The sequence below is a fragment of the Homo sapiens genome, chromosome 3, assembly GCF_000001405.40.
Source record: "Homo sapiens chromosome 3, GRCh38.p14 Primary Assembly".
NCBI lineage: Eukaryota > Metazoa > Chordata > Mammalia > Primates > Hominidae > Homo > Homo sapiens.
In genome coordinates, this window is record NC_000003.12 from 33,273,245 (window position 1) to 33,297,607 (window position 24,363).

General features: G+C 40.5%; 1 protein-coding gene and 1 long non-coding RNA gene across 27 annotated transcripts in view, besides 3 other annotated features; one reads left to right on the top strand and one right to left on the bottom strand.

Annotated features, from left to right (window-relative positions):
- Window positions 1-2,002: 2,002 nt before the first annotated feature.
- Window positions 2,003-4,110, bottom strand: LOC124909362 (uncharacterized). Its single transcript, XR_007095861.1, has 2 exons — window positions 3,924-4,110; window positions 2,003-2,156 (listed from the first exon to the last, which is right to left on the bottom strand). It is a non-coding gene; the product is annotated as an uncharacterized LOC124909362 (long non-coding RNA).
- FBXL2 (F-box and leucine rich repeat protein 2) overlaps window positions 3,781-24,363 on the top strand; it is a 145,674-nt gene continuing 125,091 nt past the window's right edge. For 22 of the 26 annotated variants that reach the window (NR_146123.2, NR_146132.2, NR_146129.2 and 19 more), the window contains exon 1: window positions 4,198-4,271. Coding sequence is in view for 2 of the 26 variants with exons in the window: in NM_001349316.2 (NP_001336245.1) it covers window positions 4,269-4,271 (3 nt within the window). In the remaining 24 variants the exon portion in view is untranslated. Of the gene's footprint in view, window positions 3,853-4,197; window positions 4,272-24,363 lie in introns of those variants that run through there. The other 4 variants (NR_146122.2, NR_146121.2, NM_001349319.2 and 1 more) reach the window with 1 other exon arrangement.
- Window positions 4,019-4,088: a silencer, noted in NCBI's record as "silent region_14185". NCBI's record gives its function as "represses an Ori minimal core promoter by ATAC-STARR-seq in GM12878 lymphoblastoid cells {active_cell/tissue: GM12878}" and the evidence as "EXISTENCE:reporter gene assay evidence [ECO:0000049][PMID:35858748]".
- Window positions 4,153-4,320: a silencer, noted in NCBI's record as "fragment chr3:33318889-33319056 (GRCh37/hg19 assembly coordinates)". NCBI's record gives its function as "represses an EF-1alpha promoter that drives an FKBP-Casp9 reporter gene in an ReSE screen in HepG2 liver carcinoma cells {active_cell/tissue: HepG2}" and the evidence as "EXISTENCE:reporter gene assay evidence [ECO:0000049][PMID:32094911]".
- Window positions 4,289-4,468: a silencer, noted in NCBI's record as "silent region_14186". NCBI's record gives its function as "represses an Ori minimal core promoter by ATAC-STARR-seq in GM12878 lymphoblastoid cells {active_cell/tissue: GM12878}" and the evidence as "EXISTENCE:reporter gene assay evidence [ECO:0000049][PMID:35858748]".

The window sequence follows — 24,363 nt, forward strand, 5'->3', positions numbered from 1 at the left end:
GGACCAATTCTTGGCGCTCCCTATTCTGCTAATTCTGTGATGTCGTTTCTGTTACAACTACTTTAGAAAACAATTTGGAAACATAAATTTCTTCAGATTTATGTAGTAAATCTGTAAACCAACAACTCTACTCTGTTGACATTCCAGAGCTGTGTTTCTCAAATGGGGCAATTTTGCCGCTCTGTGGACATTTGGAAATGCCTGGAGACATTTTTTGATTTTCACAACTGGGGTGCACCATTAGCATCTAGTGGGTAGAGATCATGGATGTTGTGAAACATCTTACATTACACAGGACTACCCTCTCCCTCCAGCCTCCAGCAACAAAGATTTATCCGGCCCTACATGTTAAAAGAGCTAAGATTGATAAACCATCATCTAGAGAAATGTGTCCATGTACACTAGGAGAATGCTCATAGCTTCATCATTTATAAGAGTCCTAAATGGGAAATGATCCAAATGCCTATCAACAGTAGAAGGGATAAATATATTCTTGTGTGCATTCAGTGAGATACTTTATAGCTATAAAAATGTAGTACAAACACTTATAAAGAACTACAAGAAAGTACTTGGCACAGTGGCATGCACCTGTAGTCTCAGCTACTGAGAAGGCTGAAGTGAAGGATCACTTGAGCCCAGGAGCTCGAGGCCAACCTGGGCAACATAGCCAGACATCGCTCTCCAAAAAAACAAAAATAAATGAATAAGGAAATGCAAGAAAATGATTTCCATAAATTTCACGACAGTGATCACCTATAGGGTAAAAGTTGAAGGGGGAATTCAGATTAGGAGAGTAGACATGAGGATCATCTGGGTTGCTGGTGATGTTCTATTTCTTGAACTGGATGGTGTTTATATAAGGGTTCACTTTAACAAAATGTACGTTTGTATTCTATTACTTGTATTTATATCTCATAATAAAAAGATAAAAATAAAGGCTGTCAGTAGTTACAGTATTTATTTTCTATTATACTCCCTACTCTATCAAGTCATATTCTTACTCGGATCTTCAAACTGACCATAGTCCCAGCACAGATGTTCATTCATTCAATCATCGGTATTTACCGAACATCTACTGTAAGTCAGGAACTGTTCTAAACACTAGGAATACACAATGGAACAAGATAGACATCTTGCATTCCAGAGCGGGGAGACAGGAAGTAATTAATAAACAAAAAGGTATAAAAGATAATTTTGAGGGGGGCTAAGTACTTTGAGAACAAGGCAGAGTTAAATGAGAGAGGCTGACTGAAGTGAGAGTGACCGGAATGAGCTATTTTAGGTCAGTAAAGGCTTTTGCGAAGATGACAATTGAGGAGATAACTGACCTGTATCAAATGAAGGAAGGGCCTACATGAAGTTCTGCAGGAAGAATATTCCATATAAAGGAAGCAGATATTATTGAGGCTTTTAAGTACAAAAGTATTTGATGCGTTTGAGGAACCTCAGGAAATAAAAGTGTGGTTAGTGTGGCGTGAATGAGGGAAGAGTGACAGGAGATGGAGTTGGTGCAGTGGGCAAGGCCTCCATCGTGTACCATTTTGGTAGACCATGGAAAGCATTTGTATTTTTTTCTTTTTCTTTTTTCTTTTTTTTTGGACACAGAGTCTTGCTCTGTCACCCAGGCTGGAGTGCAGTGGCGCGATCTCCACTCACTGCAACCTCTGCCTCCCGTGTTCAAGTGATTCTTCTGCCTCAGCCTCCCAAGTAGCTGAGACTACAGGCGCCCGTCACCACACCTGGCTAATTTTTGTGTTTCTAGTAGAGATGGGGTTTCACCATGTCAGCCAGGCTGGTCTCGAATTTCTGACCTCAGGTGGTCCTCCCACCTCGGCCTCCCAAAGTGCTGGGATTACAGGCGTGAGCCACCTTGCCCGGCCTGTATTTTTTTTTAAGTGCTATGAGAAGCCACTGAAAATGCTGCTATTGTGTAGGATGCAGGAGGGAAGACATGGGGTCATAGTCCACTTGTGCTGCTATAACAAAATACCACAGGACTGTGTAATTTATAAACAAAAGAAATTTATTTTTCATAGTTCTGGAGGCTGGGAAGTCTAAGATCAATGGGCTGGCCGATTTGGTGTCTGGTGAGGGCTGCTCTGCTTCCAAGATGGTGTCTTGTTGCTGCATCCTCTGGAGGATTGCTGTGTCCTCACCTGGCAGAAGGGATGAAAAGGCAAAAAGGGGCTGAATTCACTCCCTCAGGCTCTCTTATAAGGGCATTAATCCCATTCATGAGGACAGAGCTCTCACGGCCTACTCCCCTCCTTGAGGTCCTCTTCCTAAAACTGTCACATTTTATATGTTTTCATATAAAGTTTGAAGGGGACACAAACATTCAAATCATAGCACATATGGAGATGAATTTGGGTGAGACAATAGTGGTTGTGAGGTGGAGATGTTGTAGAGTGGATAGATTGAGAATTTAAGGTGGAGTCAAGAATATGTGATAATGGACTGGAAGTGAGGTGTGAGGAAACAGCGGAATCAGGGACAATTCCTAGGTTTTTGTCTTAACAATCAAGGGGATAGTAGGGACTTTCGCTTTGAGAAGACTGGGGAGTAAGAAACTTGGATCAAGAGGTTAATTAGGGCCATATTACGTTGTGATGTCTATTAGGCACTCCGGGGGAGATGTCAGGTCAGCTGTTGAATATGATTCTTCTTCACAGATTTTTTTTTACACTTTAAAATTCTTTTTCTCTTTTTTGTAACTTTTTTTGTTGTTGTTTTTATTTTGTCATTTTTTTCTGCTTCTAACACACCAAAACTCACTCCTTCCTTCCTTCCTTCCTTCCTTCCCTCCCTCTCTATTTCTTTCTTTTTTTTTTTTTTTTTGAGACAGAGTCTCACTCTGTTGCCCAGGCTGGAGTGCAGTGGCACGATCTTGGCTCACTGCAAGCTTCACCTCCTGGGTTCACGCCATTCTCCTGGCTCAGCCTCCAAGTAGCTGGGACTACAGGCACCCGCCACCATGCCGGCTAATTTTTTGTATTTTTAGTAGAGACGGGGTTTCACCGTGTTAGCCAGGATAGTCTCAATCTCCTGACCCCTTGATCCATGGGCCTCGGCCTCCCAAAGTGCTGGGATTACAGGCGTGAGCCACCGCGCCCGGCCTTTCTCACTCTTTCTTTCTTTCGAGTCAGGGTCTTGCTATGTTGCCCAGGCTGGTCTCAAACTCCTGGCCTCAAGCAATCCTCCTGCTTCAGCCTCCCAAAGTGCTGGAACTACAAGTGTCCCATCGCACTGGGTCCTTCTTCATAGAGTTAATGGACTAGATTTCAGGATATCTAGAGTTCCCTTCAACCATATTAAAAACATTCAACAAATTGCCAGTTGATTTAATGAATTAGACAACATGCATAGAATGCTATTCCATTAAGTGGTATGCAAAGATAATAATTTTTTTTTTTTTTTTGAGACGGAGTCTTGCTCTGTCGCCCAGGCTGGAGTGCAGTGGTGTGATCTCAGCTCACTGCAAGCTCCACCTCCCGGGTTCACGCCATTCTCCTGCCTCAGCCTGCCGAGTAGCTGGGACTACAGGCGTCCCCCACCATGCCTGGCTAATTTTTTGTATTTTTAGTAGAGATGGGGTTTCATCGTGTTAGCCAGGATGGTCTTGATCTCCTGACCTCGTGATCCGCCCGCCTCGGCCTCCCAAAGTGCTGGGACTACAGGCGTGAGCCACTGCGCCTGGCCCCAAGATAATCATTTTTAATCTAAAAAAGTAGATTATAAAACAGTTACCTATGGTTTGCCACCATTTTTAAGAATACAGTATATTATAACAACTCATTGGAAGCTTGAAGCAGATAGAATGGAATCTGAGCAGTAGCTACTTCAGGTGCTGGGGTGAGTGTCGTTTTATCCTTTTAAATTCTTGTTATTGGTAATTTAAAATGTTTTCAATAATCATGCATTACCTGTATAACGTTTTTTTTAAAAAAAAAAAAATCCATGGTCTCTTTCAGCTGGGCAGTCTGCGGCTGGGTAATCTGTCAGGTGAGGGACATCAAGGTGATCAGACTGAGAGGATGGACCAGATACGAAGTGGGAGAGGCGAAGAGGCCCAGTTCCAGGGCCGGGGGCGAGGGGTGGGCGGTCCAAAGGGCACCGCCCCTGCGGGTCACGTGCTCGCCGACCACCAATGGCCGCCTCCGAGCCCACCTTGGGGACGGGGCGGGGCGCCTGGCTGGCGTCACCAGGACAACGGGCGTCGCCGGCGCCGTGTGACTTCGGGCTGTGGGCTCGCTCGCGGCTCTTCGGCCATGGTGAGTCTGGGACCCGCGTCTGCCTAGCTGCCCCGCCCTACCCCTACCGGGCTGGGTCCGCACGCCGCCGCCCGCTAGGGTCGGGCAGGCGGCGCAGGGGTCGTGGAGAGGCCGGGCCGCGGCCTGCGAGGCTGCTGGGCAGGGCAGGGCTGGGCGGGCCCGGGGAGGGGTAACCTGGGGGATTCAGAGCGCCCGCCTGCCGGGGGGCGACCGCGATGCAGCGTTCCCTGCCGCTGGAGTCGGGGTGACAGCCCGGACCCCCACCCAGTGGGCCGCCGGACGACGTGACGCTGTTTGGCCCGAGAGAGCCTGGGAAGCCACCCAAGGAGGGTGTGGTTAAAAAAAAAAATCTTGTATATGGATATCATATGTATTTATATTTACACTAAAGCAGTCTATATGCCTCCAGTTTTGTTTCTATGCAGTTATGTGTAACTAATATAAGACATATATCTTCCTTTCAAAATCAGCATTCTGATAGGTTTTTTAGCACGTGGAAATTAAAATTTTTGATTTTAGAGACCCCTCCCCTCCTTTCTAAAAAATAGAGGGCATTAAGCTGGAGGGTTTTTTTTTCTGAGTGCCGCACCCTCACTAAGGGATTTAATTAATTCATAATTAGTGCATTGTAAACGTCTTAAATCATTACCTTTGTTCAGTTAACTTCAGACGGCGTGGGCATAACACCTGGCCCCCTTTAAGCTCGTTTTAAAAACGTTGCTCGGTTTCACTCGGCGGAGGTGCTGGCTTGAACAGACAAGTTCAGAGAATTGCCAACCGAAGGCATAATTCTCCAGAGGCCTTCACGGGGTGTAAGAGAAGAGAGGAGCTAGACTCCTTGCTTGGGGACACACCCTTGGTATAGAATACTTGAGGAGGTATGGCGGTAGGTGTAGGTAATAGGGAAATACTTAGTTTTGTTTTAACCATGAGTAATTAAGTGGAGATTTTCTCCTTATCTGCAGGAGTTTAGTGGAAGTGCTGATGAGCTGAGAATGCAGGGTGCTCCCCGAGTGCCAGCTGGCCTCATGGAGAAAAAACTATCATTAGGAATCCTGGCTGGCTCAGTTTTTTTCTTAATAACCAAGGAGAGGGATGGTGGTGGGAGGTGGATGGTGTCTCTCATTGACTCTGGAAAAGCAACTTCCAAATGTGTGGCATTATTGCTGGCAGGAGAAAAACATCACCCATAAATCACAGTACCATGTAATGCCTTTATTTTGTGTATGTTTCTTTTTTAAATTGCGAATTGCTTTTTAAGTGACAAATTAATGGAGCTGGCAAGAGTTTCAGAAACTGAATTTTATGAAGATATAAGTGTTTCAAATATTGCAGTAATTTACTGTAATATGTTATATGTGAGAAAAGCCCTAACAATTGTAGCAAGGAGAAAGAATATCCAGGAATTAATTTTTCACAGCTCTCTGAAGTCTCATATTCCTCCTGTCATCCATTTTCCTTTATTTTTACTTCTTCCACTTCTTTCGTTCTGACCCACAGCCCACCCTCATTCACTATTGTGAATTTTAGAGTTTTACTTTAAAATAAAAGCATTTACTGTAGTTTTGTATTAGTGGTTGCTTTGCTGAACTTAATAATGCTTTGCTTTTTGTTTGTCTTTAAGCATTAAGAATTTAACTCACAGGAGCTTAATTGATTGATAAGGTGTCCAGGCTTCCATGGAAGTGGGGAATGGTTGGTACAGGAGGGAGAGGGATGAAGCGGCTGCATATATATGTCATCCCCAAAACTGTATTCTTTTTTTTTTTTTTTGAGACGGAGTCTCGCTCTGTCGCCCAGGCTGGAGTGCAGTGGTGCGATCTCGGCTCACTGCAAGCTCCGCCTCCCGGGTACACGCCATTCTCCTGCCTCAGCCTCCCGAGTAGCTGGGACTACAGGCGAGTGCCACCACGCCCAGCTAATTTTTGTATTTTTAGTAGAGATGGGGTTTCACCATGTTGGTCAGGATGGTCTCCATCTCTTGACCTTGTGATCCTCCTGCCTTGGCCTCCCAAGCTGGGATTGCAGGCTTGAGCCACCATGCCTGGCCCCCAGAACTGTGTTCTAAATCACATTACACTTCCTTAACTGCTTGAATCTAAACAAAACTTTAGCCGTTGATATAAATGACTTGGCACATTAATTTTGGAACTATTTCTCAATGAAAATTTCTTCAATTAAGCCATTTATTTCTACTCTATAATAATAATGACAACTAATATTTATTGTGTACATATGTACATAGTTATTACTATAGAGGCAGTAGAAATTTTTCTAAGAGTCGTAAATGATCACAACAACCTTGTGATGAAGATACCTTTATCCTATTTTAGAGATGAGGAAATTGAGGCACAGAGAGGTAAAGTAACTTGCCTAGGTCACCCCACTGATAAATTGAGCCACTTTTAAAACCTGGCAGTTTCTCTCAACCTGTTTATGGATTGTACTGTAATGTATAGTGTATCTTTATATGTTTCCTCATATATATGTTAGGAAATTAGTTTTCTTTCTTATTAGGACTTAAGGTTTTTGAGCACTTATAAATGACTTGTGTTTTGTTGTTCCTGGCACTGGGTTAGATACTACGGAACAGGGTAGGCATGCTTAGTCTTCTCTCCCCTCTTTCTTCTTTCCTTCTTTCACAAAGTTGAAATGAGAAGGAATTAATAAAGACATGAATTAGATCAGCATTCTTACTCACAGCTATACTAGCATTGAGTTTCTCCTGTCACATCAGTTCAGTTAAGGAATTGGCATCCGCTTTTTGTGTGAATCACAAAGACAAGTGTTTTACATAAAGCCTTTTGGATGTGGAGGATTTAACAGTGTTTTTAAAAAATGTATTCTCTGAGATTTTCCTAATTTTTAGATTTTAGTTTCATATTCTACAATTGTTACGAAAAGACTTCAAGGCTGGGCTCAGTGGCTCACGCCTGTAATCCCAGCACTTTGGGAGGCTGAGATGGGAGGACTGCTTCAGTCCCGGAGTTCAAGACCAGTCTGGGCAACATGGTGAGACCCATCTCTACTAAAAATTTGAAAAATTAGCCAGGCATGGTGGTGCACGCCTGTGGTCCTACCTATTTGGGCAGCTGAGGCGGAAGGATCGATCCCTTGAGTCCAGGAGCTCAAGGCTGTGCTGAATTGTGTTCACACCACTGCCCTCCAGTCTGGGCAACAGAGCAAGGCCCTGTATCCAAAAAAAAAAAAAAAAAAAAGAAAAGAAAAAAAGGCATCTAATAATTGTTTAAATTTTAATTCATATGGAACAAAATCTATTGGGATATATATGACTTGTCAAGTTTTTGTTATTGTTTAACACTTTATTGTGTAAAGCAGATTTAGTTTTTGGAAATAAATAATATTTTATCATATAATTTTCCAGTTTAATTTGTTCATTTCGACTTTCCTATTTTGACACTTCTCTCTCTGTATTTGTGGTCAAGACTTGTCACAGGTATTGGGAAGCAGAAGATGGAGGGAACACTGCAAAAATAGTTTTGCCCATTAAAGTGATTTTTTTAATTTTTAATTTTTAAATTTTTTAATTATACTTTAAGTTCTAGGGTACATGTGCACAACGTGCAGGTTTGTTACGTATGTATACATGGGCCATGTTGGTGTGCTGTACCCGTTGTCATTTACATTAGGTATATCTCCTAAGGCTATCCCTCCGCCCTCCCCCTACCCCTCAACAGGCCCCAGTGTGTGATGTTCCCCACCCTGTGTCCAAGTGTTCTCATTGTTCAATTCCCACCTATGAGTGAGAACATGCGGTGTTTGGTTTTCTGTCCTTGTGATAGTTTGCCCAGAATGATGGTTTCTGGCTTCATCCATGTCCTTGCAAAGGACATGAACTCATCCTTTTTTATGGCTGCATAGTATTCCATGGTGTATATGTGCCACATTTTCTTAATCCAGTCTATCATTGTTGGACATTTGGGTTGGTTCCAAGTCTTTGCTATTGTGAATAGTGCCGCGGTAAACATACGTGTGCATGTGTCTTTATAGCAGCATGATTTATAATCCTTTGGGTATATACCCAGTAATGGAATTGCTGGGTCAAATGGTATTTCTAGTTCTAGATCCTTGAGGAATCGCCGCACTGTCTTCCACAATGGTTGAACTAGTTTACAGTCACACGAACAGTGTAAAAGTGTTCCTATTTCTCCACATCCTCTCCAGCACCTGTTGTTTCCTGACTTTTTAATGATCGCCATTCTAACTGGTGTGAGATGGTATCTCATTGTGGTTTTGATTTGCATTTCTCTGATGGCCAGTGATGATGAGCATTTTTTCATGTGTTTTTTGGCTGCATAAATGTCTTCTTTTGAGAAGTGTCTGTTCATATCCGTTGCCCAGTTGTTGATGGGGTTGTTTGATGTTTTTCTTGTAAATTTATTTAAGTTATTTGTAGATTCTGGATATTAGCCCTTTGTCAGATGGGTAGATTGCAAAAATTTTCTCCCATTCTGTAGGTTGCCTGTTCACTCTGATTGTAGTTTCTTTTGCTGTGCAGAAGCTCTTTAGTTTAATTAGATCCCATTTGTCAATTTTGGCTTTTGTTGCCATTGCTTTTGGTGTTTTAGTCACGAAGTCCTTGCCCATGCCTATGTCTTGAGTGGTATTGCCTAGGTTTTCTTCTAGGGTTTTTATGGTTTTAGGTCTTACATTTAAGTCTTTAATCCATCTTGAATTAATTTTTGTATAAGGTATAAGGAAGGGATCCAGTTTCAGCTTTCTATATATGGCTAGCCAGTTTTCCCAGCACCATTTATTAAATAGGGAATCCTTTCCCCATTTCTTATTTTTGTCAGGTTTGTCAAAGATCAGATGTTTGTAGATGTGTGGTGTTATTTCTGAGGGCTCTGTTCTGTTCCATTGGTGTATATATCTGTTTTGGTACCAGTACCATGCTGTTTTGGTTACTGTAGCCTTGTAGTATAGTTTGAAGTCAGGTAGCATGGTGCCTCCAGCTTTGTTCTTTTGGCTTAGAATTGTCTTGGCAATGCAGGCTCTTTTTTGGTTCCATATAAACTTTAAAGTAGTTTTTTCCAATTCTGTGAAGAAAGTCATTGGTAGCTTGATGGGGATGGCATTGAATCTGTAAATTACCTTGGGCAGTATGGCCATTTTCACGATATTGATTCTTCCTAGCCATGAGCATGGAATGTTCTTCCATTTGTTTGTGTCCTCTTTTATTTTGTTGAGCAGTGGTTTATAGTTCTCCTTTAAGAGTTCCTTCACATCCCTTGTAAGTTGGATTCCTAGGTATTTTATTCTCTTTGAAACAATTGTGAATGGGAGTTCACTCATGATTTGGCTCTCTGTTTGTCTGTTATTGGTATATAGGAATGCTTGTGATTTTTGCACATTGATTTTGTATCCTGAGACTTTGCTGAAGTGGCTTATCAGCTTAAGGAGATTTTTGGCTGAGATAATGGGGTTTTCTAAATATACAATCATGTCATCTGCAAACAGGGACAATGTGACTTCCTCTTTTCCTAATTGAATACTCTTTATTTCCTTCTCCTGCCTGATTGCCCTGGCCAGAACTTTCAACACTATATTGAATAGGAGTGGTGAGAGAGGGCATCCCTGTCTTGTGCCAGTTTTCAAAGGGAATGCTTCCAGTTTTTGCCCATTCAGTATGATATTGACTGTGGGTTTGTCATAAATAGCTCTTATTATTTTGAGATATGTTCCATCATTACCTAGTTTATTGAGAGTTTTTAGCAAGAAGGGCTGTTGAATTTTGTCAAAGGCCTTTTCTGCATCTATTGAGATAATCATGTGGTTTTTGTCTTTGGTTCTGTTTATATGATGGATTACGTTTATTGATTTGTGTATGTTGAACCAACCTTGCATCCCAGTGATGAAGCCAACTTGATCGTGTTGGATAAGCTTTTTGATGTGCTGCTGGATTCAGTTTGCCAGTATTTTATTGAGGATTTTTGCATCGATGTTCATCAGGGATATTGGTCTAAAATTCTCTTTTTTTGTTGTGTCTCTGCCAGGCTTTGGTATCAGGATGATGTTGGCCTCATAAAATGAGTTAGGGAGGATACCCTCTTTTTCTATTGATTGGAATAGTTTCAGAAGGAATGGTACGAGCTCCTCTTTGTACCTCTGGAAGAATTTGGCTGTGAATCTGTCTGGTCCTGGACTTTTTTTGGTTGGTAGGCTATTAATTATTGCCTCAATTTCAGAGCCTGTTATCAGTCTATTTAGGGATTCAACTTCTTCCTGGTTTAGTCTTAGGAGGGTATATGTGTCCAGGAATTTATCCATTTCTTCTGGATTTTCTAGTTTATTTGCATAGAGGTGTTTACAGTATTTTCTGATGGTAGTTTGTATTTCTGTGCGATCAGTGGTGATATTCCGTTTATGATCTTTTATTGCGTCTATTTGATTCTTCTCTCTTTTCTTCTTTATTAGTCTTGCTAGCAGTCTATCAATTTTGTTGATCTTTTCAAAAAACCGACTCCTGGATTCTTTGATTTTTTTGAAGGGTTTTTTGTGTCTCTATCTCCTTCAGTTCTGCTCTGATCTTAGTTATTTCTTGCCTTCGGCTAGCTTTTGAATGTGTTTGCTCTTTCTTCTCTAGTTCTTTTAATTGTGATGTTAGAGTGTCAATTTTAGATCTTTTCTGCTTTCTCTTGTGGGCATTTAGTGCTATAAATTTCCCTCTACACACTGCTTTAAATGTGTCCCAGAGATTCTGGTATGTTGTGTCTTTGCTCTCATTGGTTTCAAAGAACATCTTTATTTCTGCCTTCATTTCGTTATATACCCAGTAGTCATTCAGGAGCAGGTTGTTCAGTTTCCATGTAGAGCACTTTTGAGTGAGTTTCTTAATCCTGAGTTCTAGTTTGATTGCACTGTGGTCTGAGAGACAGTTTGTTATAATTTCTGTTCTTTTACATTTGCTGAGGAGTGCTTTACTTCAACTATGTGGTCAATTTTGGAATAAGTGCAATGTGATGCTGAGAAGAATGCATATTCTGTTGATTTGGGGTGGAGAGTTCTGTAGATGTCTATTAGGTCCGCTTGGTGCAGAGCTGAGTTCAATTCCTGGATATCCTTGTTAACTTTCTGTCTCATTGATCTGTCTAATGTTGACAGTGGGGTGTTAAAGTCTCCCATTATTATTGTGTGGGAGTCTAAGTCTCTTTCTAGGTCTCTAAAGACTTGCTTTATGAATCTGGGTGCTCCTGTATTGGGTGCATATATATTTAGGATAGTTAGCTCTTGTTGTTGAATTGATCCGTTTACCATTATGTAATGGCCTTCTTTGTCTCTTTTGATCTTTGTTGGTTTAAAGTCTGTTTTATCAAAGATAGAATTGCAACCCCTGCTTTTTTTGTTTTCCATTTGCTTGGTAGATCTTCCTCCATCCCTTTATTTTGAGCCTATGTGTGTCTCTGCATGTGATATGGGTCTCCTGAATACAGCACACTGTTGGGTCTTGACTATCCAATTTGCCAGTCTGTGTCTTTTAATTGGATCATTTAGCCCATTTACATTTAAGGTTAATATTGTTATGTGTGAATTTGATTGTGTCATTATGATGTTAGCTGGTTATTTTGCTCGTTCGTTGATGCAGTTTCTTCTTAGCATTGATAGTCTTTACAGTTTGGCATGTTTTTGCAGTGGCTGGTACTGGTTGTTCCTTTCCATGTTTAGCACTTCCTTCAGGAGCTCTTGTAAGGCAGGCCTGGTGGTGACAAAATCTCTCAGCATTTGTTTGTCTGTAAAGGATTTTATTTCTCCTTCACTTCTGAAGCTTAGTTTGGCTGGATATGAAATTCTGGGTTGAAAATTCTTTTCTTTAAAAATGTTGAATATTGGCCCCCACTCTCTTCTGGCTTGTAGAGTTTCTGCCAAGAGATCCGCTGTTAGTCTGATGGGCTTCCCTTTGTGGGTAACCCGACCTTTCTCTCTGGCTGCCCTTAACATTTTTTCCTTCATTTCAACTTTGGTGAATCTGACAATTATGTGTCTTGGTATTGCTCTTCTCAAGGATTATCTTTGTGGCATTCTCTGTATTTCCTGAATTTGAATGTTGGCCTGCCTTGCTAGGTTGGGGATGTTCTCCTGGATAATATCCTGTAGAGTGTTTTCCAACTTGGTCCCATTCTCCGCATCACTTTCAGGTACACCAATCAGACGTAGATTTGGTCTTTTCACATAGTCACATATTTCTTGGAGGCTTTGTTCATTTCTTTTCTTTTTTCTCTAAACTTCTGTTCTCACTTCATTTCGTTCATTTGATCTTCCATCACTGATACCCTTTCTTCCACTTGATCAAATCGGCTACTGAAGCTTGTGCATGCATCACGTGGTTCTCATGCCATGGTTTTCAGCTCCATCAGGTCATTTAAGGTCTTCTCTACACTATTTATTCTAGTTTGCCATTCGTCTAATCTTTCTTCAAGGTTTTTAGCTTCTTTGCGATGGGTTCGAACATCCTCCTTTAGCTTGGAGAAGTTTGTTATTACCGATCATCTGAAGCCTTCTTCTCTCAAAGTCATTCTCCATCCAGCTTTGTTCTGTTGCTGGCAAGGAGCTGTGTTCCTTTGGAGGAGAAGAGGTGCTCTGATTTTTAGAATTTTCAGCTTTTCTGCTCTGGTTTCTCCTCATCTTTGTGGTTTTATCTACCTTTGGTCTTTGATGATGGTGATGTACAGATAGGGTTTTGGTGTGGATGTCCTTTCTGTTTGTTAGTTTTCCTTCTAACAGTCAGGACCCTCAGCTGCAGGTCTGTTGGAGTTTGCTGGAGGTCCACTCCAGACCCTGTTTGCCTGGGTATCACCAGCGGAGGCATCAGAACAGCAAATATTGCAGAACGGCAAATGTTGCTGCCTGATCCTTCCTCTGGAAGCTTCGTCTCAGATGGGCACCTGGCTGTATGAGGTGTCAGTCGGCCTCTACTGGGAGATGTCTCCCAGTTAGGCTGCTCAGGGGTCAGGGACCCACTTGAGGAGGCAGTCTGTCTGTTCTCAGATCTCCAACTCCGTGCTCAGAGAACCACTACTCTCTTCAAAGCTGTCAGACAGGGACATTTAAGTCTGCAGAAGTTTCTGCTGCCTTTTGTTCAGCTGTGCCCTGCCCCCAGAGGTGGAGTCTACAGAGGCGGGCAGGCCTCCTTGAGCTGCAGTGGGCTCCGCCCAGTTCGAGCTTCCCGGCTGCTTTGTTTACCTACTCAAGCCTCAGCAATGGCGGGCCCCTCTCCTCCAGCTTCTCTCCTGCCTTGCAGTTCAATCTCAGACTGCTGTGTTAGCAATGAGTGAGGCTCCGTGGGTGTGGGACCCTCTGAGCCAGGCGCGGGATATAATTTCCTGGTGTGCCGTTTGCTAAGACCATTGGAAAAGCGCAGTATTAGAGTGGGAGTGTCCCGATTTTCCAGGTACCATTTGTCACGGCTTCCCTTGGCTAGGAGAGGGAACTCCCCGACCCCTTGCGCTTTCCAGGTGAGGCAATGCCCCACCCTGCACCATGGGCTGCACCCACGGTCCGACAAGCCCCAGTGAGATGAACCTGGTACCTCAGTTGGAAATGCAGAAATCACCCATCTTCTGCATCGCTCACGCTGGGAGCTATAGACTGGAGCTGTTCCCATTCCGCCATCTTGGAACCTCCCACCCTAAAGTGATTTTTTTTTAACTCAAGGTTTACAGACAGTTTTTTGTCATTATATGACACAGTTAAGAGAATTTATATGAGATCTATGTTAATAGATCAAGGAAAGTAGAGATTTCTCTATTAATTTTCTTTCTCTTGACAATATTCATCTCCCTTTTGTCTGTACTATTGTGTGGTAGGGAGTAATTTTTAGTAATTGTAACAATAGCTTTCTTTTATAGAACCCATTCTCTGTATCCAGTTCTGGGCTGATCACATTTATTTTACTCAATTCTTCAATGTCCCTAAGAAATTGGCATTTGTTATTTAATTTTATTTATTTATTTATTAATTTTTCTGGAGACAGGGCCTCGTTCTGCCACCCAGGCTGGAGTACAGTGGCTCAGCTCACTGCAACTTCGAATTCTTGGGCTCAAGCAGTCCTCCCACTTCATCCTCCCAAAGTGCTGGGATTACAGATGTGAGGCACTGCACCCAGCCTGAGTTTGACATTATTCCCATTTAATAGGGCTAAATTGAGTAGGCAGTTTGCCCAAGGTCATATAGTTAGTGAGTGGCAGAGCCAGGATTTGAACTCAACCAGTCTGTTTCCAAAGCCTGGGCTCTTAACCATTACATTATGGCTTCTTGCCAAACTAAAGATTGTGCCCAGTGCCTGGCACAAATGTACTAATTACACCAAGATTAAGAGTCTTAATGTCTTAGCTGAGTCAGCAGTCTCTTTTAAATTTTATGACAAGCTGTTGTCATGTTGTCTAATGACATCCTGAAGGATTTACTGGGTTTTTTTTTGGTTTTCCAGTTCAGACAACCAAAGCTCAGATATGGACAGCTATGGGTTGGCTACACTTTTATTGCTGTTTTCTCTACCTCACTTTGAATCTCACTGCTATCCTGTGTAGTGTCTATATCAGCCACTTCCTCTTCCAGCACTAGGGTGGCCATGAGAGAGACAGGGATGGAGCAGGGAAGTCTAAGGAGACAGAACAGGGCATTTACTGGGAAGTTTTTAATAGAGTCAGAATCAAGGTTCAAACTCAGATTTCCCAGTTCTCAGTGCTGCCTCTACAGCTGCGTCTTTCCATTGATTTTTTTTGTTCTTTGGGTTTCTGTCCAACACATATTTATTGTGTGCTACTGTGTGCTAGTGACTGTTCTAGTCAGTGGATATCCAGCAGTGCGCAAACCGAGTATGGCTCTTCTCTCATGGAACTTATATTCTAGTGGCAGGGAGACAGATAATAAACAGATAAGGTGGTGAAAAGTACTTTGGAGAAAAATAAAGCTGGGTAGGAGAGAAAGAATTCTAGGGTAGGGTTAGAGAGTGAATGAGGGAAGGGATGTGTTGCTTTTAATGTAGAATAGAAGGGAAGGCCTCTCTGATAAAGTGACATTTGAGCAGAGGATATGCCATGGGAATGCCTGAAGAAAGACTGTGTCAAGAGAGGGCACTACTCAAAGGTGCCGAGGCAAGAACATGCCTGGTGTGTTGGATGAACAGCAAGAAAACCAGTGGGGCTGGAGTGTAGTAAGAGAGGGTAGTGTGGTAGGAAGTAAGATCAAAGTAGTTAAGGGAGTCAAATCATGTAGGACTTTTAACCTATGTAAAGGATTTTGACTTTTCCTGTGAGGGAAGGGGAAGGGATTGGTGGGGTTTATGTAGAGAAGTGGCATATATGACTTATATTTTATAAGAGAACCATTGTGGAGTAAAATTAGGGGAGAAGGGACAAAGCAGGGTGACTGTGGCATTTTTGTTGCAGTAATCCATAGGATTAGCTGATGGATTGGTTATGGAATATAAATGATTTTGATGATTTGAGCCTGAGCAAGAGGAAGAAGGAACTGCCATTTGCTGAGATGAAGACCATGGAAGGAGAAAGTTTGGAGTAGGGATGAAGAAAGCAGGAATTGGACTTCATTGACTCTTGAAGTGTTAGAGTTGGAAGAGACTTCGAGTTTATCTAGTACAGTCGTTTCCTTTTACAAGCTAGTAATACTAAATACTGAGAGGTTAAATGACTTTCCCAGAGTCAAACAGCCTATACTACCTGTTGTGCAGCATAAAGAGCCCTGGAGTTGTAGTCATGAGATGTAAGTTCAAATTGTAGCTTTTTTGTTTCTTAGCTCTGAACCTTGGTCAAGTCATTTATTTTCTCCAAGTCTGTTTTTCTTCCATCAAAAAGGATAATAAAGACTTCCATTTCCTGTTACGATGTTGCAAATTGCAACAGTTGACATTATTGCTCCCACTCTGGTAGTGAGAAAAGTCAGAGAAGGTACAAAATCATAATTTTAAAAAACCTATCAGAGTTGACACAAAAAAATCTAAAGAAACAAAAATCTGGAAAGTAATGAGTGAGCCTTCTCAAGAGAAAAAAAAAAGAGATACATAGGTACTTTCATCTATGGTGGAACAGCAAGAGGAAGAATTTGCAATAGATAGTTAAAGAGAAGTCAACAGTTACTGACTGCACATAGGCTGGAGTGACAGTTTGGAATCCTGAGGAGTTCCAGCTACAGTGCAGGACTACACCTACCTGCCAACTTTTCCCATGGGCCTTCAATTAGTACATTGGAATAGGAGTTCGGATGCTGGGGCAAGGGAAAGAGAGCTAAGAAGGGTCCTGCTGAGGTGGGTGGATTCTGCTGAAGGTTGGGGGCAGGGCAGGAGAGTTAAGAGAAATCCCTGTAGTGCACCAGGGGGTTTATGAAATCTAAGCCTGGGCGTGCAACAGGCTGGGGGCATGGCAAGACAGCTAAGAAATCTCTTTATGATTATCTAGGCTTTTACTGAGGACAAGCCAGCCTTTGAGAAGGCATAGTCAGGGTAACAGAGCAAAGAGAGATCTCCTCAAGGCACAGAAAGCAGAAGGTGCTACTGGAGACCAAGGACAACACCCTAGCTGAAAGCTGGAATGTGAGGGGAGGGCAGAGAGGAGGGAAGATATCTCACAGTTAAGAAACCTTGCATAGGTTATGAAGCTCAGAGATCTGTGAAGCTTCAACAGTGCTCAGATTTTAGCTTCTCCTGAAGGTAAAGTTCTGATTTCACCCTGAAATTATTATAAGGCAATCATGGACTAACACTACAATCTCAAACCCAGCTCAACTATAGATTAAAAGGATTGAGCCTCCACTCCCAGTTTCCCAGCAACTTAATTGAAGAAGGAACTTTCCTTTATGGAGATAAATTAATGTTCTTTTATACGCAGTATCTGGCATGAAATAAATTATGAGATATACAAAGAAACAAGAAAATGTGATCCATGGTCAGGGGAAGAAAGAGGCAACAGAAGCAGTCTCAGTGATGGCCCAGATGTTGAACAACATGGATAAACAGAGAAAATTTCAGCAGAAAGATGTAAAGTGTGAAAGATAAAGATGTAAACTATTTCTCCAAGTAGAAATGCTAGAAATGAAAAATATATTAGAAATGAAGAATTCATTTGATAGGCTTAATAGCAGACTGCACACAGCAGAAGAAAGCACCAGTAAACTTAGGGACAGATCAATAAAAAATCAGCATTCAAGATCTGTGGGACAATACAAAATTGTCTAGTATATACCTGTAACTAGAGTTCAAGGAGTGGAGGAAGAGCAGGGACAGAAGTCTGAACTGAGGTACATCAGATTCAACTTTCTGAAAATCAAAAATTTTTATAAAGGAAATCTTAAAAGGAGGTAGAAAAGAAAAATATATATAAAGGTGAACAGTAATATGAATAATTGACACCTTGTCAGAAACAGTGCAGGTCAGAGGACAATGAAATAATTTTTTTTTTTTTTGAGACCCTCTCACTCTGTTGCTCAGGCTGGAATGCAGTGGTGTGAATATAGCCGACTATAGCCTTAATGTCCTGGGCTCAAGGAATTCTCCCACCTTAGCCTCCTGAATAGCTGGAACTACAGGTGCATGCCACCATGCCCGACTAATTTTTTAAATTTTCTGTAGAGACAGTGTCTTACTGTGTTACCCAGGCTGGTCTCAAACTCCTGAGCTAAGTGATCCTCCTGACTTACCTCCCAAAGTATTGGAATTACAGGCGTGAGCTACTGTGCCTGGCCTGGAAGAACTTTTTTAAAGTGCTGTATTTTTTCTTAAGCAAATCTGCTAACCTGGAATTCAATATTCAAAAGTGAAGGAGAAATAAAGATATTTTTGACAGAAGCAAAAACAATTTGTCTACATCAGACCTATATTACAATGTTAAAAGAAGTTAAGTTGAAGGGAAGTTATAATAAAGGAAGTTCAGATCTGAAGGAATGAATTACACCAGGAAGGGTAAATATATGGATAAATATAAGGGACCTTTTAAAATATGTTTCTTTAATACATACATTTATTTTAAAAATATGGACTATTTAAAGTAGAAATAATAACATATTATTTGGTATATAGTAGAAGTAGAAGTAAGCTATCCAACAGTAAGTGCACAACAAGCAGGGGAAGTCAAGTGAAGTTAGACTGTGATAAGTTAAAGATGCACTCTATAATCACTAAAGCAAACATTGAAAAAAAATACAGAGAGGTATAGCTGTAAGATCAGTGAAGGAAACAGAATGAATATCACATTATGGAAAAAGTCAGGAAAGCAGAATAGAGGAACAAAGAAGAGAAGCAAATGGAAAATAAATATAAAGATGGCAGACTTAAAATCAACCATGTCAGTAATTACATTAAATGTAAAGACCATCATCTCCAATTAAAAGTTTGCAATTGTCAGGCTGGATAAAGTAGTGTGGTACAACTATGTGCTGTCTTTATGAATCACTGTAAATATGAAACACAGATTGAAAAAGGGTGAAAAAGATATACCATGCAAAAAGCATAAGAAAGTTGATGTTGCTATATTAACAAAGTAGACTTTAAAACAAGGATCATTTCTAGAAAAAAGGATCATCTATAATAATCAATTTATTAAAAATACATAACAGGCCAAGCACAGTGGCTCATGCTTGTAATCACAGCACTTTGGAAGGCCGAGGCAGGTGGATCACTTGAGCTCAGGAGTTTGAGACCAGCCTGGCAAACATGGTGAAACCCCATCTCTACTAAAAATACAAAAATTAACTGGGTGTGGTGGTGCACACCTGTAATCCCAGCTTCTTGGGAGGCTGAGGTGGGAGGATCATTGAGCCTGGGAGGCAGAGGTTGCAGCGAGCCAAGATCATGCCACTGCACTCCAGCCTGGGTGACAGAGCAATCCTCTGTCTCAAACAAACAAACAAAACAAATTTGTGTGTACCTCACAACAAAGCTTCAAAATACATGAAACAAAAATTGGCAAAACCAAAGAGAGAAAGAGGCAAAACCACAATCATAGTTGAATATAACACCTCTATCACTAATTGACAGAACTTGTGAAGAAAAAAAAAGTCAGTAAGGATATAAAAGATTTGAACACCACTATCAACCAACTTGATCCTTGGCATTTATGAAGCACTACACATCACTACAGAATTTGAAAAACAGCAAAATGGCAGATGTTAGTCCCTCCTTATTAGTAATTACTATAAGTACAAAAGGATTAAATTTACTAACTAAAATGTAGACACTGGCAGAATGGATAAAAAAAAAACAAGCAAAAAACTTCCCACATGATCCAATTTTATGTTGTCTGCAAGAGACCCTTGTTAGATCAATCAAAAGACAGGTTAAAAGTGAGCTGGGTTGGCTATACTAATATCAGACAAAATAGACTAAGTTATAATAAAAATTGTTACATGAGACAAAGGTGATTATATGTTGATGAAAGGTTAATTCCTACAGGAACCATAACAATTATAAGCACATATGCACCAAACAACAGAGCCACAAATATATGCAGCAAAGTGACAAATGCAGGGAGAATTTTTTCTTCTTTTTTCTATTTTAGTGATGGAGGTCTGTCTATGTTGACCAGGCTGGTCTTGGACTCCTGGCCTCAAGCAGTCCTCCCACCTTGGCCCTCCAAAGTGCTGGGATTACAGGTGTGAGCCACTGCACCTAGCTGAGAAGTGGTTTTATAATAGTAATTGGAGACTTCACAGCTGTCATCATAGCTACCATTTGTTAAGCACTTACTATATGCCAAGACTGTCTTAGGCACTTTACGTTTATGGACTCATTTCATTCACAACTGCCCTTGTGGCAGGTTCTATCACTATCCGTATTTTGCTGAAGAGGAAACTATGGCATAGAAAAGTGGCAGGTCCCATTAATATCCCCATTTTGAGGAAGAGGAAACTATGGCATAGAAAAGTTAAATGACATGCCCAAGGTTTACAAAGGTGTAAGTGGAAGATCTTGGATTATAAGACTCTTTTGGGAAATTAGATTTGATCCTTAGAGGTTTCCTAGTCTCATTTCCCACTGAAGAAGGGATTCCTTTCTCTGACAATACTGGTTCTGTAGACTCTACAGGAGCATTGAAGATGGGGGAATCACTGCTTCAACAGCAAGACATTCTAGTATGGCCTATTCTAATTGCTAGAAAGTTTTTTTTTTTCCTGTATTGGGGTGAAATCTCACAACTTTGATTCACTAGTCTTTGTAATAACAGAAAATAAGCCAATTGTTCTGACTGTTGAGATATGTGAAGGTTTTCATGTCATTCACCACTAACCCCAGCATCAGTTGGAGACTTCAGTACCATACTTTCAATAATAGAACATTTAGACAGCAGAATAAGGAAACAGAAGTCTTGAACAACACTATAAGTCAATGAAACCTGACAGAGTTATGTAGAACACTTAACCCAATCACACCAGAATTGACATTCTTCTCAAGTGTACATGGAACATTCTTCAGGACAGACATATGTAAGACCACAAAACAAGTTCCAATAAATGTAAAAAGACTGAAATAATACTAAGTATCTTCTTGGATAACAATGGAATGAAGCTAGAAATCAATAATAGAAGGAAAACTGGAAAATTCACAAATATGTGAAAATAACATTTATTTTTTTTGAGACGGAGTCTTGCTCTGTTGCCTAGGCTGGAGTGCAGTAGCGTGGTCATAGCTCACTGTGGGCTCAATCTCCTGGGCTCAAGCTATCCTCCTGCCTTAGCCTCCTGGATAGCTGGGATCATAGGGACATGCCACCATGCCCTGCTGATTTTTAAATTTTTTTGTAGAGTCGGGTCTCACTATGTTGCCCAGGCTAGCCTTGAACTCCTGGTCTTAAGTGATCCTCCTGCCTTGGCCTCCCAAAGTGCTTGAGTAACAGGCATGAGCCACTGTGCCTGGCCCCAAATTAACACATTATTAATCAATAGGTGAAAGAAATAATGGCTATTTAAAAATACTTTGAGATGAATAGAAATGAAAATATATCATATGGGATGCAATGAAAGCAGTATACTTAGAGGGAACTTTATAAATGTAAATGCTTACATTAAAAAGAAGAAAGGCCAGGCACAGTGCCTCACACCTATAATCCCAGCACTTTTGGGGACTAAGGCAGAAGGATCAGTTGAGCCCAGGAGTTCAAGACCAGCCTGGGCAACATAGGGAGATCCTATCTCTACAAAAAATCATTTTAAAAACTAGCTGGGTGTAGTGGCATGTACCTGTAGTCCCAGCTACTTGGGAAGCTGAGGTGGGAGGATTGCTTGAGCCAGGGAGGTTGAGACTGCATTGAGCTGTGATCATGCCACTGTACTCCAGTCTGACTGATAGAGTGAGACCCTGTTTCCAAAAAAAAAAAAAAAAGTCCAGTCAGTAACTTTGCACCTCAAGGAACTAGAAATATATTAGATAATTTAGCTATTTAACATAGTGCTCACTGGAACTTGGAATACAGTAGGCACTTACTAAATATTAGTCTCATATATCCAACACAAAGATTCATCATTGACACTACTTTGAAAATAAATGTAAGTTACTATTTATGGCACTATTTCCACTTCTGCAGTTTGTTTTGGTGGATTGTTTTTTTAATCCAGGTTTTAAAAATTGAGATATTCATCATATACTATAAATTTTGCTCACTTAAAAAGTACACTTCAGTGGGATTTAGTATATTCACCAAGTTGTGTGACTGTTACAACTGTCTAATTCAAGAATTTTTTCATACCTTCAAAAGAAACCTCATATACACTCACAGTCACTTTCCAGCCCTAGGCAACTACTAGTCTATTTTCTGTCTCCATGGATTTGCCTTTTCTGGACATTTAATGTAAATTGAAACATACAATATGTACCCTTTTTTGTCTGCTTTCAATAGCATATTTTCAAGACTCATTCCTGTTGTAACATGTATCATTACTTAATTCCTTTTTATTGCTGACTGATATTCCACATTTTGGAATACCACATTTTGTTTATCCCTTCATCAGCTGATGGACATTTTGTAATTGTTTCCACTATTTGGCTATTAAGAGTAATGCTGCTATGAACATTCATGGACAAGTTTTTGTATGGACATATATTTTCATTTCTCTTTAGTCTTGACTTACAAGTGGAGTTGCTGGGTCATATGGTAACTCTTTTTAACCTTTGAGGAACTGCCAGATTGTTTTCCAAAGTGGCTATGCCATTTTACATTCCCACCAGCAGTGTATGAGAGTTCCAGTTTCTCCACATGTTCACCATTACTTATTAGTATCTTTTTTATTTTAGCCAATCCTATGGGTATGATGCATCTCACTGTGTTTTGACTTACCCTTGTCTTACCCTTACGTTGAACATCTTTTCATGTATGTATTGGCCATTTACATATCTTCTTTGCAGAAATGTCTATTCAAATCTTTTGCCCATTGTAAAATTGGGTTGTCTTTTATTGAGTTTCAGAAGTTCTTTATAGTTTGCATACAAGTGCCTGCTCAGATCTGTGATTTGCGGATATTGTCTCCAATCTTGTGGGTTTTTTTCCTACACTTTCTTGATGGTGCCCTTTGAAGTACAAAGGTCTTTTGTTTGTTTGTTTGTGTTTCTGAGACAGGGTCTTGCTTTGTAACCCAGGCTGGAGTGCAGTGGCGTGATCTTGGCTCACTGCAGCCTCTGCCTCCCAGGTTCAAGCTATTCTCCCACCTCAGCCTCCTGAGTAACTGGGCCTACAGGCATGCACCATCATGCCCTGCTAATTTTTGTACTTTTAGTAGAGATGGGGTTTCACCATGTTGGCCAGGCTGGTCTTGAACTCCCAACCTCAAGCTATCCACCTGCCTTGGCCTCCCCAAGTGCTAGGATTACAGGCATGAGCTGCCACGCCCAGCCAGGTCTTTTGTTTTGATGAAGTCCAGTTTATCAATTTTTTTTGGATGTTTATGCTTTCAGTGTCATATCTAAGAAACCATTGCATAATCCAAGGCCACCAAGATTTATGCTTATGTTTTCTTCTAAGGGTTATAATTTTAGCTCTTATATTTATTTAAGTCGCTGAGCCATTTTGAATTTTTTTTTATATGAAGTGAGATAGGGGGTCCAAATTCATTGTTTTGCTTGTATATATCCAGTTGTACCAGTACCATTTCTTGAAAAGACTTCTTTCTCCATTTAAATCAGTGCTCATAAATTTAAGAGTTTATTTCTGGATTCTCTTTATTTTAGCCAGTTTTATAATTTTATTTTAGATTATCTGTTCTGTTCCATTGATCTATATGTCTACCCTTATGCCAGTGAACACATTGCTTTAACTGCTGTAGCTTTGTAGTAAATTTCAAAATCTGGAAGTTTGCGTCCTTCAACTCTTGTTTTTCCTTTTCAAGATGATTTTAGTTAATCTGGGTCCCTTGCATTTTCATATGAATTTTTTGATCAGCCTTTCAATTTCTGTAAAAAAGGCAGCTGTAATTTTGAGAAAGATTGCATTAAATCTATAGATTAGTTTAGGAAGCGTTGCTAACATAACACTAGTAAGTCTTTCAGTTCATGAACATGGATGTCTTTTGATTTATTTAAGCCTTCTTTAATTTTTCTCAACAATGTATTGTATAAGTTTTCAATATGGAAGTCTTATTCTTCCTTTGTTAAGTTTATCTCAGAGTATTTTGTTCATTTTGATGCTGTTGTAAATGGGATTGTTTTCTGAAGTTTATTTTCAGGATGTTCATTGCTACTATGTGGAAATACAGTTTATTTTTATATAACTATATTGTATATTTATGTGTTGTATCCTGCAGCCTTGCCGAACTCCTTGATTAGTTCTAATTGATTTTTGTGCATTTTTAGAATTTTCTATATGCAAGATCATGTCATCTGCAAATAGAGGTTGTTTTACTTCTTCCTTTCCAATCTGGATGTCTTTTTTATCTTTTGTCTAATTGCTTTGGCTAGAACCTCTAGTACAATGTAGTATCAAATGGCCATGTATTGCCATTTTTATGAAACAGTGATAGGACATAAAATATTTTATATTACTCAATATTAGAATATGGTGGCTGCATGAAATTAGTCACACCCTATTTGTAGGACAATAATTGGGGCCGTTCTGATCTAGTAGTATAAAAACAATTAATT